Here is a 21,726-nt window from a genome sequence, read left to right on the forward strand (position 1 = left end):
TCCTTCAGATCAGTCACAGGCAGACTACATGCACAACCCCACAGAAAAGGAAGATACTGTGGGGAGGGGTGGGGTATGGAGAACCGGAAGGTGGTTGGCCCAGTCAGAGTAGAAGGCTGTGTTAAGGAATGCTGGGGAACAGTTGGAAATGTACATGGGGGTCAGATTTGATATGATATGAAAACCAGGCTTAGGGAGTTTACATTTGAGGGAGTTTACATTTGATGTGACTGGAAACAAGGAATCAGTGAAGACTTTTCTAGTTAAAGACATCAATAAGGTGCTCAGTGGGGGGAATGGTAGGAGAAATGAGGAAAGGAAAATTGGAGTTGTTTCACGGGGAAACTGGACAGAATCTTAAAACCTACTGAACATAAGGGACAAAAATATATTTGAGTTAGGCAGAAGAGAAAAAGGAATTTATTTCAGATGACCATATCTCAAATGTACTCCTGAAGCGTCTAAGTTAGATTCACCCACTAACAGAATTCAGTGTTATCCTTGGTTGACTTCTTGAAATATATGGAACCAATTATAATCAGGAAGAAAATTCTCTGTGAATGGTCTACTAGGTATGGTATTAACAAAACCTTATTCGTAAGTATTATTCATTTACTTGAGGAGGAACGTACACTTTCTGAATAGGTGTTGCTTAATCACACTGATTTGGCCTGTCTTCCTTCCTTTTTGAATTTAAATGGAATCTTAAGTTACCATGAACGTTCCTATTTCTCAGGAGAGGTGTCCATCTACCCATGCCATTTTTTTTGGCCTTTCACTATCTCCTTAGACAACTCCAATTTAGGTTCCACTCCTGCACTTCAATAAACCTTGACCAAACTTCCCAAACTGCTAAATTCACTGGTTGGTTTTCTATGCTCATCTTACTTAATTTCTCAGTATTTGACACTGACTCCCATTTCCTCAACACACTCTTCTATTGGCTTCTTTGAGCCACGTTCTCTTCATTTTCCTTCTGCTTCTCTGGTTTTCCTTCTCAGTCTCCTTTGCTGACTCCTCTTTTTCTGCTGATCTCTAAATATTCCAGTTCTCTAGGGTTGAGTCTAGTATCACTTCAAATACCATTCAAGGGTCTTCCATTTAAGGAGGATAAAGTAATGATATCTTGGCCCCCTTTCTACCCTCAGAAAATCAACAAGAATAACAAAAACAGAAAAAGACATCGCCTACAATGAAACAAAAAACTAGCCACAACTCTGAACCACAATCTAGGAAGAAAGATTGTGAAAAGCTATGAAAACTAGACCTAGTTGAGGCAGGTTGCTAAGACTGAATATATGCCTCTCCAAATCTCCGGCACTGGAGTAGAGTTCTCCAGAAGTAGGTTGCAGTTCCTGAGTAGCCAAACCAAAAGTCTTGCTAAGAATGTCAGGGTCTCAGTATGCAGGTGGCTTTGGAACAAAATAAGTCCCATTTGACACTTCTAAGTATATGTAAGGTGAGGTTAAATGAAGAAGTAACTAGAAATTCCTTTTTTTAAAAAAAAACAGGCTGTCATAGTGGTGAGGCAAAAGAGAAAAAGTGCAGTGGCTCTGCAGCAGATGATCTTGATAAATGAAAAGAGGCAATGCTAAATCACCTCCCAGAAGTCTCAGACATACATAGGGAACTTGCTTTCTAGTTAGGCAATCTTCTTGCCATTTCAGGGCAGACAGTTGGTGAGACAGGGAATGAGCAGCAGACCACCAAACTCAGTGCATTTTATCTTTCAACCCAGAATGAACCATACCTACTCAAAGATGACAATCATTAGGCCGGGCGCACTGGCTCACGCCTGGAACCCTAGCATTTTGGGAGGCTGAGGTGAGTGGATCACCTGAGGTCAGGAGTTTGAGACCAGCCTGGCCAACATGGCGAAACGCCGGCTCTACTAAAAATACAAAAATTAGCTGGGAGTGGTGGCGCATACCTGTAATCCCAACTACTTGGGAGGCTGAGGCAGGAGAATCTCTTGAACCCAGGGGGCAGAGGTTGCAGTGAGCTGAGATCGCGCCACTTCACTCCAGCCTGGGTGAAAGAGCAAAACTCCGTCAAAAAAGAAAAAAGACGGTCAGTTGAAGTGAACCAGAATGGGGCACATGATAAGATGTCAGAAGAAAAGAAAAAAAAAGTAGGTAGTGGGTAAAACATCTGACAGGCAAAAGGCAGACCAAGAATACCCCACTCCCCCAAAGAAAACCACAAAGTAGAAAAATTATGAAAGAACATTCTGTATGAAAGCAAAGAATACAAAAAAAAATGTAGCTCTCTAAAATAAGATATCAAAGAAGGCATCATTTAAAAGGAGAAATTGTGTTTAAAATCATTTTTTCAAGAGATAAAAAGCTAGAAGAGCTCAAGAAAAAAACCAGAAGAGAGAAAAAAAATCCACAGTAATAAAGGTCATATTAAAAGACATAAAGAGAATGGACACTGCTGAAAATAGAAGGAGACAGGAAGAAAAGGTGGAGAAAAGTAAGCAAAATAATTTTTTGTATTATCTCATTTATATGTAAAATCTTAAATTTTTTTTACCTCAATAGTTTTTGTGGAACAGGTGGGTTTTGTTTACATGGGTAAGTTCTTTAGGGGTGATTTCCAAGATTTTGGTACACTTGTCACCCAAGCAGCAGTGTACACCGTACCAGGTATGTACTCTTTTTTTTTTTTTTGAGACGGAGTCTCACTTTGTCGCCCAGGCTGGAGTGCAGTGGCATGATCTTGGCTCACTGCAACCTCCACCTCCTGGGTTCAAGCGATTCTCCTGCCTCAACCTCCCAAGTAGCTGGGACTACAGGCGCCCACCACCACGCCTGGCTAATTTTTATATTTTTAGTAGAGACAGGGTTTCACTATGTTGGCCAGGATGGTCTCAATATCTTGACCTCGTGATCTGCCAGCCTCAGCCTCCCAAAGTGCTGGAATTACAGGCGTGAGCCACGGTGCCAGGCCTGGTATGTGGTCTTTTATTCCTCGCCCACCTCCCTCCCTTTCCCCTCAAGTTCCCGAAGTCCATTATATCATTCTTGTGCCTTTGCATCCTCATAGCTTAGCTCCCACTTACAAATGAGAACATATGATATTTGGCTTTCCATTCCTGAGTTACTTCACTTAGAATAATGGCCTCCAGCTCCATTCAAGTTGTTACAAAAGACATTATTTTGTTCCTTTTTATGGCCGAGTAGTATTCCATGGTGTATCTATACCACATTTTCTTTATCCACTCATTGGTTCATGGGCATTTAGGTTGGTTTCATATTTTTGCAATTGCAAATTGTACTGCTATAAACGTGTGTGTGTGTGTGTGTCTGTTTCACTTAATGACCTCTTTTCCTTTGGGTAGATACCCAGTAGTGGGATTACTGAATCAAATGGTAATTCTCCATCCTGTCGTTGTACTGGTGAGTTTACATTCTCACTAGCAGTGTAAAAGTGTTCCCTTTTTCACCATAGCTACGCCAATATCTGTTATTTTTTTATTTTTTACTCTGCTGATTATTTCTTTTGCTGTGCAGAAGCTTTTTAGTTTAAGTAGGTCCCATCTATTTATTTTTTGTTGCATTTGCTTTTGGGGTCTTAGTCATGAATTCGTTGCCCAAGCCAATGTCTAGAAGAGTTTTTCTATGTTATCTTCTATAATTTTTATGCTTTCAGGTCTTAGATTTAAGTCTTTGATCCATCTTGAGTTGATTTTTGCATAAGGACCCAGTTTCATTCTTCTACATGTGGCTTGCCAGTTTTCCCAGCACCATTTACTGAATAGGGTGTCTTTTCCCCAGTTGTCAAAAATCAGTTGGCTGTACTCGACTTTATTTCTGGGTTATCTGTTCTGTTCCATTGGTCTACATGCCTATTTTTATAGCAGTACCATGCTGTTTTGGTAACTATAGCCTTACAGTATAATTTGAAGTCAGGTAATGTCATGCCTTCAGATTTGGTTTTTTTGCTTAGTCTTGCTTTGGGGGTGCAGGCTCTTTTTTGGTTTCATATGAATTTTAGGATTTTTTTTCCAGTTCTGTGAAAAATGATAATGGTATTTTGATAGGAATTGCATTAAATCTATAGATTGCTTTGGGCAGTATGGTCATTTTCACAACACTGATTCTTCCCATTCATAAGCATGGGATATGTTTCCATTTGTTTGTGCCATCTAATATTTCTTTCACAAGTGCTTTGTAGTTTTCCTTGCAATCTTTCACCTCCTTGGTTAAGTATATTCCTAAGTTTTTTTGTTTTTTGTTTTGTTTTGTTTTTTTAGCTGTTGTGAAAGGGACTGAGTTCTTGATTTGATTCTCTACTTGGCCATTGTCAGTATATAGCAGTGCTGCTGATTTGTGTACACTGATTTCATATCCTGAGACTTTACTGAATTTGTTTATCAGATCTAGGAGCTTTTTTGATAAAGGGTCTTAGGGGTTTTCTAGGTATATGATCAGATCTCTGGTGAACAGCAACAGTTCAACTTCCTCTTTTCCAATTTGGATGCTCTTTCTTTCTTTCTCTTGTCTGATTGCTCTGGCCAGGACTTCTAGTACTATGTTGAATAGAAGTGGTGAACGTGGGCATTCTTGTTTTGTTCTAGTTCTCACGGGGAATGCTTTCAACTTTTCCCCATTCAGTATGATGTTGGCTGTGAGTCTGTCACAGATGTGAGGTATCTGATAATGGTGACATTTCAAAACAGTAAATAAATATACCAACAATAAACATCAATAAACAGTGTTAGAAAATGGGCTAGTCACTTGGAAAAATAAAAAACACACATCATTACTGTCATAAGTTGAACTGTATTCTCCCAAAAGATACACTGAAATCCTAACCCCTAGTATCTGTGGATGTAACCTTATCTGGAAATAGGGTTTTTGCAGGTGAAATCAAGTTAGGAGGAGGTCATTAGGGTGGACCTGAAACCAATAAAAGAGAAAAATGCCCCACGAAGGGAGAGACAGGGAGAACACTGTGCAATGACAGAGGCAGAGACTAGAAGAAGAATGCAGCCACAAGTCAAGCCAAGCCAAGGATTGACGACCACTGCCAGCAGCTAGGAAGAGTCCAGGAAGGGTATCTCCCTTGACGGTTTTGGGGGGTATTGCTCTGCTGACACCTTGAATTTGGACTTCTAGTTTTCTGAACTGTGAGACAATACACTTCTTTATTTTAAGCCCCCCTGGTTTGTGGTAATTTGTTACAGTAACCGTAGGAATAAAACTAGTTATACTAAAATAAATTCAATAAAAATGTCTCATTCTTCCTTACAAATAAAGAAATGTAAATCAAATCAACAATAAGATATGCTTCTTCACCTATATAGAGCAAGAGTTTTGATAGTGAACGGTGTTAGCAAAAATATGCAACCTCAGGTATCTTCACTGTCACAGGTATCATCTTAACTGATCTGCTCAAACCACTCTCCATCCGTTCCCCATACAGTAGCAAGTATGATCTTAAAATATAAATCTTATCTTACTCTGCATTCCTAGCCTTAAATCTTTTCAATGGGAAACTTTAATCTCAAGCCAATCTGACACACAGACATTGGTTCATCTCATGCCATCTACCTCTGATTACTGTGTGCACTGGCCTTTATTCATCTAAATTCCCCTATCCCCATCATTCCACACCTGTTTGTTTCCTAAATTTCACACAAGTTCCTTATCCATCAAAATTTCTCTATCCCCCATCATTCCACACCTGTATGTTTCCTTTGTAATACCGGTCACAAGTTGTTTTTTGTTTACTTGTTTATTGTCTACCTGCAAAGGAATAGAGGACATATCTATCTTGTTCATGTTTTATCTTCAGAACGATCTTCTCTTTATGTGGACAACTTCACACAATCTAGATACAAACAGCAACTTTTATTCTAGAAAAATACAATTAAATGGTATCTACTCCAACTCAACTTCTGAGACAGACTTTTCATTGCTGGAGAAGAAGGTCACAGAATATATGGGTCTCAATTGGAATTGGAAGAATCAGTACAAACTCATAGTATATGCAGGGCAAAGAGAGAGAAGAGGGAGAGAGGAAGAAATAGGTATGCACACACACACATTTCCTAACTCTGTCCACTTAGAGAAACAGTAACACCAGATAAAGGCCTGGAAATACCATTTTTCTTAACTAAAAGGACTCAGGGCTCCTTGAAGAAAAGCGGATTCTATCACTGGAACAGGGAAAGTACAAAATGAGCTTGGACTATCTTGTTGAGCCAGAAAGTAGGAAACGCACATGTCAAAAGGACACAGGAGCAAGATGAATGGACTTTCACTGCACCCATCTGGGACCACATGGGCATTAAAATCATGTCAGTAATGAGCTGGGCATGGTGGCTCACACCTGTAATCCCAGCACTTTGGGAGACTGAGGTGGGTGGATCACCTGAAGTCAGGAGTTTGAGACCAGCCTGGCCAACATGGTGAAACCCCATCTCTACCAAAAATACAAAAATTAATTGGGCATGGTGGCACGTGCCTGTAATCTCAGCTACTCGGGAGGCTGAGGCAGGAGAATCGCTTGAACCGAGGAGGCAGAGGTTGCAGTGAGCCGAGATCACACTACTGCATTCCAGCCTGGGCAGCAGAGCGAGACTCCGTCTCAAAAAAAAAAAAAAAAAAAAAAAAGGATATTGTTGGGACAACTGATAAAATCTGAACATCAGCTATGAATTAGAAACCAGAATTGCGTCAAAATTACACTTTCTGATTTTCATCACTGTATTGTGGTTATGTAAGAGAAGATCCTTGTTCTTAAGAAACACACCCTGAATTATTTAATGATAGGGGCCTGATGTCTCCAATTTATTCTCCAATGGTTACAAAAAATAACTACATACATATATAAAAATATACAAAGAGAAATTAAGAAGCAAATAGAGCAAAATGTAAACAACTGATAAAGAACAAAAGGGGGTTTCTTGTAGTATCGTCTACCTTTTTTGTAAATTTGAAATTATATCAAAATTAGAAGTTGATAATAAAAATCCAACTTCTAATCCTCTTTATATAGTTAATTAATTAATTTAGAATAGGCAAGATAGACTCTTAGTAAAAGACTCAAAAGATGTAAATGAATACACAGTGAAAAGTGTTTCTCTCTCCTCTTTCCTATACCTTCCCTCCTCAGAGGCAACCACTGCTGCTGGTTTCCTGTGAATTCATTTAGAAACAGTTTAGTTGTTGTTTTTGAATGAATGGCAATTTTTTTTTCTCTAATTAAAATGTTTATCTTGGCAAAAGTCTCATGTAAGTAGATAGAGAAAAGCCGAGTTTTTTATGGCTTCATAGTATTCCATTTCATGGGTGATTATACAATAATATATTTAATCAGTCCCTATTGGACATTTAGTTTTGTTACTATGAACAATGCAAGTATAAATACAATGGTAGCTATTTCTTTGTGCATATGTGTATGTATATCTGTAGAACGCACATCTAGAATTCAAATTATTAGTTCAAAGGATATAAGCAATTTAAATTTATGAATTATATTGCCAAATTAGTCTCCAAAGAGACTGTACCAATTTAAACTTCTGCTTATAATGTATGAGACTTTCTGTTTCATGGGTGTGGGTTTTTAAACCAACGATACTGGCCTATTTAGAAAGGACAGAGTTTTATTTTCAAAATACACAAAACTTTGACCCCTTTCTACACTTATGCAATGTTCATTAGGTTACTTTCAATAAGGTTCAGCCCACCTTGCCAGTTCTTAGATGAGAATCTCTCCCAAGGGTGAAAGCATCTTGTTTCTGCTTCTCTTGGCAAAAATCATGGTTTCCATGTGATGGAGTCAATTAGTTTTATCCCCTTGTTAGACTGTGTGTTCCTGAGATGGACAGGGACCATATGTTGGAAAGAGTAGGAGCTTTATTTTATTTTTGTTTTTATTTTTCTAGAGACAGGGTCTCGTTCTGTCACTTAGGCTACAGTGCAGTGGTATGACCATAGCTCACTGTAACTTCAAACTCCTGGGCTCAAGTGGTTCTTCTGCCTCAGGCTCCCCAATAGCTGGGACTACAGGTGTACACCACCATGCCTGGCCAATTTTTTGATTTTTCTGTAGAGACAGGTTCTCTCTATGCTGTCCAGGCTGGTCTGGAGCTCCTGGCCACAAATGATCCCCCTACCTTGGTCTCCAATTATGAGCTTTAGAGTCATACAGCACTGGAGCCCTGGGTTTGAACCCTGGCTCTGCCAGTTACTGATTGTGTGCATTTATAAACATCTGAGTAACTAGTAAGTGTCCATGTGCCAGGTACTATGTCAAGAGCACTCAAGCTGTCTTAAAATGATTTGGAAAAGATGCTTTGTTTTGACCTTTTGTTAACACACTGAAGCCTAGAATTGACAACTTGGAAGAGGGCACTTAAGAAGCACCACCACAGTCCACCAGTGCAGCACTCAAGCTCTTGACATAGTACTTGGCACATGGACACTTACTAGTTACTAGAAGAATAAGACATAGTATTATTGTACTCAAAGGCTTATATAAATAGACAATGCTATGCAGTAAGCACAACGATAGAGGGTTTAAAAACTAGGCTTTTTTTTTTTTTTTAAACTTATTCCCTTCTTGTTCTCATTCTCCTCTGTCTCTCAATCTCTCTCTCTGTTCCAGAAAAGATTTAAGGCAATAACAAAGATAGAAAGAATGTCATGGAAGCTTAGAGAAGGATACCTAAACCAGCTTTAGGAGTGGGAGGCTTCAAAGAAGACTTCCTAAAAATTGTATTGCTTGACATTTGAATTATTTATGCAATTATATAATCTCCACATAGACAGTTCTAACCACTTCTTGGTTTACACTTTCTTAAAATGATTTGGAAAAGGATGCTTTATTTTGATCTTTTGTTAACACACTGAAGCCTAGAATTAACAACTTGGAAGACAGCACTTAAGAACCACCACCACAGCCCATCAGTGCAGCATATGGGTATTCCCAGGCCCATCGATAGCAGAGGAAAGGGTGTATTGATTAAGAAGGTGGACTCTGGGATCTGGCTGCAGTTTAGCACTGACTAGCTCTATGATCACGTGGAAGCTGTTTAACCTCCCTGTGCCTCACTTTCTTCAACTGATATAGTACCTTTCCCTCAGAGGATTGTTACAAGAAGTGAGATACTCTGCATAAAGTGCTCAGCACACTAATTAGTACATGGTAACAGCACAATAATACCAAGTCGTATTTTTATTATGAGCAATAGCAGAAGTCATAAGAATGGCAGGAAATATCTTTCTTCCACTTGAGACCCATTGTTCAGCATGCGGCATCAGTGCTATGTTTCTGTTTAACATCACAGTGAGGGTTACTTCTGCTAGCACAGCGAACGGTGATCCAGCTTGGCTTCATGTTTATAAAGCATTCTTCTAGCAGTTCATGGGGACCCTCTAAGGCCAAATGCCTTCAGTAAAATTGCTTAGGCTTACCACAGGACATAAGAACTAGTTAGGACCACAGGTGGTGGATTAAATGACTGACGTTGTGACTTCATTTCTTGGCTTTCTTCTTCTGGTGCAATATTTCTTCATTTGAGCTGCACAAATGGTAGTTAACCAGAAGATGTGGTCAGGAGATGCCTAGATGAATTATCTTACCTTTCCTCTGCAATGGAAAACAACTGTTTTTGATATATACGTTTTTAGGTGATGCTTGCTTTTTCAAAACACAATTCTTTTATTTATTATGGCATGCCTAATTTTAAATGTTATTGATGTATTTAATTGTATTTGTATCCAGTTGTTTATTCAATCAATCATTAGTTATTAGCACTCATGTTCCAAGCATTGTGCTGGGAGCCACAAGCAGAAGAATAAACAGCAGACTCATCTCCACCCTAATGCAGGCAATGATAAGGACAGACACTAAATGGAGGTCCAGGGAGAGCCAATAGAATGCACTGTACTGGTGGAGGGAAGCAGCAGTGTTTGAGGAATCCAGAGCAGGGCATGTGACTATACCACAGCAGAGAGAGCATAGGGAGAGAGGTGTGGGAGGAGGGCCAGAGCGCGCAAGGCCTTAGGGCTTGTGGACTTTATCCAAGGGTGGAGCTTTAAGTATTGATCACATTTGCTTTTTTGAAAGCTTCCCTTTGGCTGCAGGGTGTAAGGAATTGAGTGCCTGCTAATGGACCAATTAGGAAGCACTACGCTGGTCTCAGGAAGGAATGACGGGTTCTCTGGTTGGGATGGAGCAGTAGAGAGACAGAGAAGTAGACAGGCTTTAAGAGTAGAGATATAATCTATTGGAGACGGTAACTTACTGGGTATGAGAGGCAAGAAAGAAGGAAGTGTCAGGGTAAGTATCTCACATGAGCTACTGAGCAGACCGTGATGCTCCATTAATGAGGATAGGGACAGGAGGCAACTGTGATTCAGACAGACTATGCAATCTGTTTGAGACACCTGAGAGACATCCAAGTGAAGATGTTTCTCACACTTCTTTCTCTCATAGAATTAAACCCGATCCCCTGAACACAAAGTGAACAACACCAAGGATGGCAAACACAGATCATCAGCAGTGGAGAGAGCAAGCAGATAACCACACCATCACGGCCAGCAAACACGGCAAGGAGAACACATACTTCATTGCCCCATTTAAAAGTGGAAAAATATTTTAAAGAGACAGGAGATATCTGGGTTCTATTTAAATTTTTTTTTTTTTTTACTAACTGAATTCATCATACCAAGTTCCTCAGTGATTCAACCTTCCTGGTATAATAGAAACAAACACAATAGCTTCCTCCCATAAAACGTTAACTACTAAGGTCTCATGCAATTCAGTTTTTTAAAAAATACAATAAAGAAGCTATACAATGTCAGCACATGAATAAATCACCATAGCATTATTTAGCTATGAAGTGCTTGTAAGATTCTCCCCGGGGCCTGAAAGCTTAAGGAGATGAATAACTCCTCTCTTCTCAGGCCCAGTTCCAAGGTGCAACTTGGGGCAGCAACTTGCGCCAGCAAGACAGCAGAAGGAGGAAGAGAGTCCGCCTGAAGACAAGTACTCCTAAAGACTGAGAAAGAGGCCATCCGGGTACAACATAGCAGTTACGTCAGACTACGACACTTCCTGTTTACAGGAGACTATAAAACCTTTGCCCCGTCCTCACTTGGTGCTGAGGCCATTTTAGGCCTCAGCCCGCCTGCACCCAGGTGCTCATTAAAACAGCATGTTGCTTCACACCACCTCATGTTGTCTGTTAGCGCGCTCTCGGGGTTCGAACCGATACAAGACCCTTAACGGTGCTGAGTGTCCAATAATGACAGGCATGAAGATTTAAACCAAAACATGAGAATGAAAATTACCTATTAATAATATGACACTGATTTTCTCTTTCAACCAACAATAAACATAATTTATCCAACATAGGGCTCAATATTTATATATTTATTCCTTTTCATCCATTCCATTTAGAAATGATTTCCCATTATGGTAACATTTGGCTACTTGGCATACCTAGGGAAGTAGTTAGCTGCATTTTACCTTAACTGGGGAGTTAGCTTATTTATAAATCAACACTGCTCAGGAAAATGAAGGATACCTGGACCTGATGTAGAAAACTCTTTAGTAGGCATTGACAATTATATGAATTGATAACAATTATGCATTTTAAATAATATTAAAAACCATGTGAATTACAGTATTAAACATACTTTTTTTTTTGAGACTGTCTCACAGTGTTGTCTGGACTGCAGAGCAGTGGCATGATCGCAGCCTCACTACAACCTCCACCTCACAAGCTTAAGTGATCCTCCCACCTCAGCTTCCTGAGTAGCTGGGACTACAGGCGCGGGCCACCACATCCAGCTAATTTTTGTATTTCTTGTAGAGACGGGGTTTTTGCCATGTTGCCCAAGCTGTTCTCGAACTCCTAAGCTCAAGCAATCTGCTGGCCTCAGCCTTCCAAAGTGTTGGGATTACAGGTGTGAGCCACCATGCCCAGCCAAACATCCTTTTAAAAAACAAGTAAATCCCACAGATGGCTGAGGACTTTAACTAAATAGAATAAACTTAAGATTCTCATCCCTTCCCACTCTCAAATTTATACTGGTAGGAAGCCTCTCTACCTTACATGGTACTGAGGTATTTCACTCCATGGGACGGGTCTCTGGACGACAGGAAACCTAAACAGTATATCCTGTCACTTTTAAATAACTATGCCTAATTCAGAAAATGACATAAAACTTAGTACACTGCATCACTTTTGTTGTTTTTTTTTTTGAGATGGAGTGTCGTTCTATCACCAGGCTAGAGTACAGTGGTGCGATCTCAGCTCACTTCAACCTCTGCCTCCCAGGTTCAAGCGATTCCCCTGCCTCAGCCTCCCAAGTAGCTGGGATTACAGGCATCTGCCACCACACTCGGCTAATTTTTTGTATTTTAGTAGAGATGGGGTTTCACCATGTTGGTCAAGACAGTCTTGATCTCCTGACCTCGTGATCCACCCGCCTCGGCCTCCCAAAGTGCTGGGATTACAGGCGTAAGCCATCACACCTGGCCTGCTGCATCACTTTTCTAAAAACATAGTTTCTTATCCCACTTTTCATAACATGTGAAGACTGTGATGTATTTAAAGAAAGGTTTTCCAAGGTGTTATTAAAAATCCTCAGGTACCCAGATAGGCAGCTTTTGGGCACAGGCTGGGAGGCACAGTAGTCCCCCTTATCCAAAGTTTCGCTTTTCGTGGTTTCAGTTATCTTCGGTCAACCATGGCCCAAAAACATGAAGATATTTCGAGAGAAACATCACATTCATATAACTTTTATTACAGTTTATTGTTATAATTGTTCTATTTTATTATTGCTGTTAATCTCTTACTGTGCCTAAATTAAAAATTAAACGTCATCACATCTATGTACATATAGAAAAAAACAGTATATATAGTGTTCAGTATAGGTGGTCTCAGGCATCCACTAGATGTCTTGGAGTGTATCCCTCACAGATAAGGAGGAGCTATTGTAGTCGTGACAAGAGACACTGAAGACTTTCACAGGTGGTTAACGTCAAGCGCATGGATTACTTTCATTTCAGCTTACTGTCACAAAACTTTTTAAAATTCAATAAACAGATTCACTCTGACCTAATATTAACTATGCATCAACTCTGTGCCTAGAATTATTTTAGATCTTTTCCATGTATGTTGCTAATTATACATTTACTAAATATTAATAGAAAATCTTCTAAAGCCCTCTTTTGTTGACATCATGTGCCCAGTTACAGGTAAGAAAGAAATACGTTTATGCCAATCATTTAACCATCATCTCTACTTGGAGAAATCTGAATTACAAAGCACAGCTTTCACTGACCTGGGAAGGAGATCTACTTCTACTACAGAATGGATTGCATGAGTAGGAAAACCGGAAAGTTTCCCAGACGCTCCTAAAGTTATTGTTTGACTATTGTTTTTGTTGGGGTGAATTAATAGCCAACAAGGAACTGAGCAAAGTATTTTAAAATCAGCCAAAATATTTATTGAATTAATGAAGGGCCAGACACCTTGTCTGCTGGCTCTCCTTGGCTTTCCTCGTCAGAAGTCTGTAACATCCATAAGGCTGCATTTCCTCATGGAAAGCTTTTAATACTTCCTATATTCTGCACTATCCTTATACTTCCTATATCTGGCATTTTCTTTTAGCTTAAGTTTACCTTTTTTTAAAGAATAATCTTCCTTGTGTCTAAGATAGCGTAAGTGGTTACTTCCCTTCCCCTGTCCACAGTTAAGGAGGCTCAATCACTGCTTCAACGTTGGGAGTGTCTGGAGGCACGTGGAACTTCTACGGTGCTAATCTGGTAATACTGTAACTCTTTTGATGCCAACAGCCCCTAAATGGAAGCTAAGAATGTGAGATGGCATCCCCAAGTGAAATATCAAAAGCTGCTCACTGGGGCCATCAATAATGTCTGCTCATTTTGGGATAGAGTGATTATGGTAAGGGAAAGGGAGCTAAATTTGGAAGGGTGTAAAGAAGACCTAAAGTAGGTGAAAGACATCAGCTATGGCCACTCTGCAAAGAGTTTTCATCTTTAAATGATGGTTGAGATATGGCATTTTACAGCTTTCTTCCTAGATTGTAATCAAGTTTCCTAAGACAATGTGAACCAAATTTCTTTTTATTTATACTTATTTCTAGTATACTGCTGTGGGGCTCAAAAAGGTTTTTAGTAAGTAAGGTAAGAGGGAACTGGAACTACTAAGAGATTCATTATTAAAATTTCTAAGTATTAAATGGGTCCACATTCAGAAACACAAATCAACACATGCTAAAGACAAACATGATTTGGATAATCTACTACTTTGCTTTAGCCAGCCAGTCCTTTTCCACTTGTGAAAATAACCAAGTATTTTCTATACTCAGGAATACCAGACATCAGGAAGTGAACTAAGAGAATAAAAATGTAGTGGCAAAGAAAAGAGTCAAAAACTAAAAACAGATCAAATACATCAGGAAATGGAAAAAACAAATAATTTTCCCTATTTTTTAGTCCCTGTAGCAGAAATTAAATCTCGTTTATTGCTAGATCTAACTGAGAGAGAAATTTGTGTAGGTAGATTGGTTGCCAATTTAAGACAAATAGTATATTTTTTAAGTATCATCCCAACCATGACTGCATTCTGAGCTTCATAAGCCATTAAGAAAATCTTTAATTGTTCTAAAAAAATAGCTGTCCTCAATCTCTTCAATAAATGGTGTTAGGAAAACTGGATATTCATATATGGAAGAATGAAAATATAACTTTATCTCCCCTCTTAAAGAAGAATCAATTAAAAATGGATTAAAGGCTTAAGCATAAGACCTGAACCTATAAAGCTACTAGAAGAAAACATGGGAAAAGCTCAATGACACTGGTCTGGGCAGTGATTTCTTGGATATAACCTTAAAAGCAAAGAGCAAAACCAAAAAAAAAAAAGAGCAAAACCAGACAAATGGGATTGCATCAAACTAAAAAGTTCCTGCACCACAAAGGAAACAATTAATGGAGTAAAGAGACAACCTACAGATTGGGAGAACATACCTACAAATTGTACTTTGGAAAGGGGCTAATATCCATAATATATAAGAAACTCAAACTACTCAATAATAAGAAAACAAATAAACTATCTATTTAAAAATGGGCAAAGGACTTGAATTGATATTTCTCAAGACATACAAGTGACCAATACATATGAAAAACTGCTCATCTCTAATAATAAGAGAAATGCAAATTAAAACCAAAATGAGGTATCACCTCATACCTGTTAGACTGGCTATTATCAAAAAAATGAGATAAGAAGTGTTAGAGACGATGTGGAGAAAAGGGAACCCTTGTACACTGTAGGTGGTATTATAAATTATACAGCCATTTTGGAAGACAGTATAGAGTTCTTCAAAAACTGAAAACAGAATTACCTTATGATCCAGCAATCCCACTACTGGATATATACATACCCAAAGGAATTAAAATCACTATGTCAAAGATCAGTCTGCACTCTCAATCACTGCACCATTATTCACAATAGCCAAGATATAGAAACAATCTAAGTTTTCATCAACAGAGGAATAGATTTTTAAAATGCGAAATATATATATATAAAACAGAATACTATTTAGCTTTTATTTAAAAAAATAGGAAATTCTGTCATTTTTGATAACATGGATGAACCTAGAGGACATTATGCTAAGTAGAATAAGCCAGGCAGAGAGAGACAAATACCACATGACCACACTTACATGTGGAATCTAAAAAAGTCGAACTTAATAGAAGTAGAGAGTAGATGGTGGCTACCAGAGGCTGGAGACCAGGGGAGGATTGGATGGGGAACTGGGAGATGCTGGTCAACATGTACGAAGTTTCAGCTAGAGAGGAGGAAAAAGTCACAGCAGGGTGACTACAGTTAATAATAATGCATTGCATATTGAAAAATAGCTAAAGGAGCTATTTGTTTTTGTTTTTTTTTGTTTTTATTTTTGTTTTTCCAGAAACAGGGTCCCACTCTGTTGCCCAGGCTGGAGTGCAGTGGCGTAATCATAGTTCACTATAGCTTCAAACTCCTGGGCTTGAGCAATCCTCCCACCTCAGCCTCCTGAGTAGCTAGGACTACAGGTGCGTGCCACAACACCAGCTAATCTAAAAGAGATGATTTTAACTGTCCTTATCACAAAGAAACGATAAATATTTCAGGTGACAGATATGCTAATTACTCTGATTCGACCAGTCCACAATGTATACATGTATCAAACATCACACTGTACCCCATAAATATAATTATTTGTAAATTAAAAATAAAACAAGAAAAAAAGGAAAGTGCCTGTCCTCTAGTTCAATCTTGCTCATTTAAGCAGTAAGCAGTTTCTCTAAGTGTCTATTAATATGACATTTCAAAAAAGTGAAAGAAAAACTAAGCTTATTTATAAATAATATTATTTACAAATCTTTACTTAAACAAGTCTTACATCTTCTGTGAATAAGATTTGAAACTAAATAATGTGTGATTGAATAACTAAAACTACTAATATTCTTATTTTAAAATTCCAGGAAATACTTTGTCTCAAGATTTTGCTTATAATTCGTCTAAGTTTAAAAAGTCAAGGGTTTGGCCGGCGTGGCCAGTATATTTGGCAGAGACAGGGCTGAGGATTCGGCTGGATCACTGGGCTGGTGGTGGGGCCAGGGTAAGGATTCCACTGGTGCAGCTGGGTTGTCCAGCAGGGGAGGGGTCTAGGAAGTGGCCTGCATGGCAGGGGGAGTGGAAATTGGTGACATACAGGAAAACTGAGAAAATAAGTATATATGTTGAGGATAATGGGAGCCCAGGTTTCTTCCTACCACAGAAAGAAATTACAAATATGAAAGAGGGAAGGTTAAAATAAACCCCATGGTGTTAGATTGAAATGGTAAATATCAATATGGTACCTGTCAATAAATAGACAAAGAAATAGATGTAGACACATGTATGTGTGTGTGTGCATTCCCCAACCCCCTTCCTAGCTCTGTTTGTAAGAGCAATGACACACCAATGGCAACAACCATATCTACCACCCAGTTCTTGATTTCTAAATGCTATACTAAAGGAAACGGCTGAATCCATAATGGGGACACAGGAAATACAAGATGAACCTGGACTATCTTTATGAGCAGAAAATAAGGAAGTTCTCACAGAATGACAGACATGTCCAAAGGATACTGCAGCCAGCTGAAACGGACCTCCACTATCCAAATCTGGGATAGTTTATTGTGGAAAATAAGGAGAATCAATTCAGTTGTTGACTATCTGTTCTCAGTCTTGGCTGTGTGGTATACAGCTTGTACCCTGACCAGCCTTCTAGGAGACACATACCATTGATTACAAGGGAGAACAGACCAATGGGAATGAACTGGCACAAATTCATCACCACAAATGAACAAACAGCTCAAGTCTGTGCTCTTCTGACAGTATGATCATTTGTTTAAAGTACCTAATATGTAGATGCCTACACATCACCACATATGTATATATTTTGCTAATAAGCTTCCTCTTTGGACACAGAGAAGCAACGCGTTTATTTATGCTTTGAGTACTTTATTATGTCAAGGTACTAACAGTTTGGATGCAGAGACAAATAGTTTCAATTGCTAATGCATTAAAAACATTTTTTCTAAGTTTTATTTTTAATATCAGCTAAAGAAAAAAATTTTTTTCTGGGAAATAACTTGTAAAACATGGTATCAATTAAGTTGGTCTTAAATTTTCCCTTTCTCAAATTCTGACTAATCTGACTAATCTGACAAAGATTAATCACTTAGGGAAGAAAAATATTTTTCACTGTTAAAAATCTGTGGTTAAGAGTTAGTTTGACTTTTAAAAATAATTTTCACATTGAAACAATTTCAAACTTAAAAGTTGTAAGAAGACCATTAAAAACTCCTAAATTTCATTCAGATGAATGCCCAATTGTTAATGTTTTCAAATTTGTCTTATTCTCATATACATGTATGTGTGTATGTAGACCTATAACATATATATACATACAGATAAATTTCACTTGTTTATACAGATTATAATAATCTATTTCTGTGATCAACCAACTAATTTTAAACACAGAATGATACATGATTTTGTTCTTCAAATGATGCTTCATCAAGTTAGGAAAGGTACCTGCTGGTCTAAAAAAGCTGGAGGTTTCATTTTGTCTTGGTTTTAGATTTGGTGGCCAAATCGCACTATTACACACTAGTCCAGTAGCCAAACTGTCTATGGAAGTTAGGCAGGCAAAGATAAGTGGAAAAGGAAAGAAGTCAGTCAAACAGGGCATGGTGAGGGCTGTGAGAAGCATGAGCCCTGTATAAAGTAAGCAGCTGTTAACTCTAGCAGACAGTTCCCATTCTGAAATGTGAACCAAGTTGTGCCAGAACTTCCAATTTTTCTTTCTTTTTTTTTGAGACAGAATCTTACTCTGTCGCCCAGGCTTGAGTGCAGTGGCGTGATCTCGGCTCACTGCAGGCTCCGCCTCCCAGGTTCACGCCATTCTCCTGCCTCAGCCTCCCGAGTAGCTGGGACTACAGGTGCCCGCCACCACACCCAGCTAATTTTTTGTATTTTTAGTAGAGACAGGGTTTCACCGTGTTAGCCAGGATGGTCTCGATCTCCTGACCTCCTGATCTGCCCGCCTCGTCCTCCCAAAGTGCTGGGATTACAGGTGTAAGCCACCACGCCGGGCCCAGAACTTCCAATTTTTCAAGAAAAGCTGGAAATATGTATTTTAAAAGGATGTTATCCTATTTTAAAACCAAACTAATGTTTACAAATCATGAAATTGGTTTGGGAAAAAAATCATCTATAGCTTATATACATCGCACTATCAGCTGACAGGTGTAATAATCATTCCCAGTTAATTTCTGGTCATGACTAATCTGAAAGTTCTAACAACATAAATAGGCAATACACACTTTGCAAAACAATGAAAAAATAATGACCCTAACCCCAAGGATCCTGCAGTCAATTCTCTTGCGAAGGAAGTGATGCAATATAAACTACACTCTTGCTGGCAAGGATTGATTCCATATTACAAAACAACATCTGCAAAGCAGAGCTTTTAAAGGAATCTTACAGAGTAGTCCCACTTATAAAGAATCTAATCCAAACACAGTAATTACCAGGAAATTTGTAATGATTCAAGAGAACAAAGACTTTTGTTTTTAAATTTTGTAAATTGTTTTAAAAAAGAAGACAAGCAAGGAAGTTCCCTTTGCATTCAAAGGCTGAATGGAAGATTTATCTAGTAATACTAGTATTTATATGCAGTCATCCCTTGATACCAGCAGAGGGTTGGTTCCAGGACCTCTTGTGGATAGCAGAATTCTTGGATGCTCAAGTTCCTGACATAAAATGGCATAGTATTCGCATATAACCTATGCACATCCTCCTGTATACTTTAAATCATCTCCAGATACTTATAATGCCCAATACTATGCAAACACGATGTAAACAGTTGTTATACTATATTTTGGGGGAATGATGACCCAAAAAAGTCTGTACATGTTCAGTACAGATGTAGATTTCCAAATACTTTCTATTAGCAGTTGATTGAATCCACAGATGCAGGACACATAGATATAGAGGGCTCTAATAGTATGACTAACACTAACTAGTATGACTAGGGTTTACTTTGGAGTTTACAGGAATATACTAAAATTATTAATAAAACTTATGCAATTTTTATTTTTAAATATTGTCCTTTAAGAACTATTTGAAGACCCACCATCTCCATAAGGCTTTTCTTGACACCTCTAGCCTGGAGTGATCTTTCTCCCTCCACTGGACTTTCAGGACAATTACTGTCTCTACAATTTATTTGCCAATTAATTGGATGTTGCACTGGGGCATCTCATCTATTACCCTTTTAAGCAATTAAATGTTTCACTGCTATCTAGTATTTTAAATGCTTCTACATTTGTTTATATTCTCTAATAGTTCCTAGAACAGTGTTATTTCAAGGGTTCCAGTCTGCAAACTGTCTGTTGCTTGGTCTGTGATAAGTAAGGAAATAAAGAGTTTAGTAACTTTTACGACAATTTGACATTACAGTGGCAGCCAAGAGCAAGATTAGTGGACTCATTTTATTCAATAAAGTATAGAGCAGTCTGGATGCTATCAAACTCACATGGTGAGGTTGCATGATGAGGTCCTGTATGATACAAGCTGGATTGGTCACACACAGTCTGACCATGTTACAAAGTGTCATATTTAAGGGTATTATACAAACTCTTAACTCAAAATATTATTTGCACTGTATTAAGAGGTAGGGCCTTTGGGAGGTGATTAGATTATAAGGGTTCTACCCCCATGAATAGAATTAGTGCTCTTATAAAAATGGCTTGAGGGAGCTTGCTTGCCCCTTCTGTCATGTAAGGACACAGCAAAAAGGCACCAGCTATGACGAATGGATCCCAACAGACACCAAATCTGCTATCAATATCTTGATCTTGGACTTTCCAAATTCCAGAACTGTGAGCAATACATTTCTGTTGCTTATAAGTTGCTGAGTTTAAGGTATTTTGGTATAGCAGCCCAAACAAACTAAGACATTAGGGAAATAAAAAGTACATTATTTATTTTTAATCCTAATTTGGTTTCACGCCTAATCCTTTGCAAAATAAGCTTTATGGACTCCTTTGTCTCCAAAATACATGTATTTTCTGAGTGTACAGTCATTGCAAACCAAATTATGGTGAAGGAAGCAGGTTCAGAGAAATGAAGACCAAAAGAGATTGTACTAGCTGTTACTTGGAGGTGTGATTTCCTCACATATTGAGTTTGGTTTTGAAGCCAAAACCGATGGAGAAGTGTGTTATTTGCAGAGATGACTAATGAAGCAATCAAACCATCAAAATTAGACAGCATTTATATATAAAACAAACATTACTTCAAGGCCAAAATAATTCTCTGAAAAAAAAAAATGATAGCTTTAAAAGCTGATGTTTACAGGATAGTCTAACCCTGATCAAGGCAGCTCATTCAGGTTGGGCTGGTTCAAAGAAGCACTGCTCTTGGATCTGAATTCTGGAAGAGCTTTTTCAAAGATTACGTGTTCCTTCCTAGAGTTACTCCCTGATAGACATAGGACCTCAAGCCACATCTTTAGGGCTTTTCACCATCTTTATTCTCAGGTTATCTGCAACTTCAACGAATAAACTGCCTTCTGGGGTTTGATGAGAGGTAAAAGTTCATGATTATTATAAAGTAACCTTATGGCCGGGTGCAGTGGCTCACGCCTGTAATCCCAGCACTTTGGGAGGCCAAGGTGGGCGGATCACAAGGTCAGGAGATTGAGACCATCCTGGCTAGCACGGTGAAACCCTGTCTCTACCAAAAATACAAAAAAATTAGCCAGAAGTGGTGGCACACGCCTGTGGTTCCAGCTACTCGGGAGGTTGAGCAGAAGAATCACTTGAACTCAGGAGGCGGAGGTTGCAGTGAGCCAAGATCACGCCACTGCACTCCAGTCTGGGTGACAGAGCGAGACTCTGTCTCAAAAACAAACAAACAAAAACAAAAAAAAGTAACCTTATCACACCATACCTAAGGTGTTATGTTGTTTGTTTTTCAATTAGAGTTTAAATTTATTTTTTAAATGTATATTTAATATGTATCCCATTTGTAAATTAGAATGTTTAGCTTTGTAGAAATAGTCATTAATCTGTGAAAAGTGAATCTTCAGCCTTAACTTCCCGGGCTCAAGTGATTCTCTCACCTCAGCCTCCTAA

The 21,726-nt window shown here is 38.6% G+C and overlaps 1 protein-coding gene across 6 annotated transcripts in view; it reads right to left on the bottom strand.

Moving 5' to 3' along the window:
- Nucleotides 1–21,726, bottom strand: part of MYO1D (myosin ID) — a 384,603-nt gene that overhangs the window by 292,243 nt on the left and 70,634 nt on the right. Inside the window, exon 2 of one of the 6 annotated variants that reach the window (NM_001411088.1) lies at nt 1,931–2,028. The exons of the other annotated variants lie outside the window; for them this stretch is intronic. The gene's annotated coding sequence lies outside the window, so the exon portion shown is untranslated. The remainder of the gene's footprint in view (nt 1–1,930; nt 2,029–21,726) is intronic. 6 annotated transcript variants of the gene reach the window in all.

Source organism: Homo sapiens, chromosome 17, assembly GCF_000001405.40.
Source record: "Homo sapiens chromosome 17, GRCh38.p14 Primary Assembly".
Classification (NCBI taxonomy): Eukaryota; Metazoa; Chordata; class Mammalia; order Primates; family Hominidae; genus Homo; species Homo sapiens.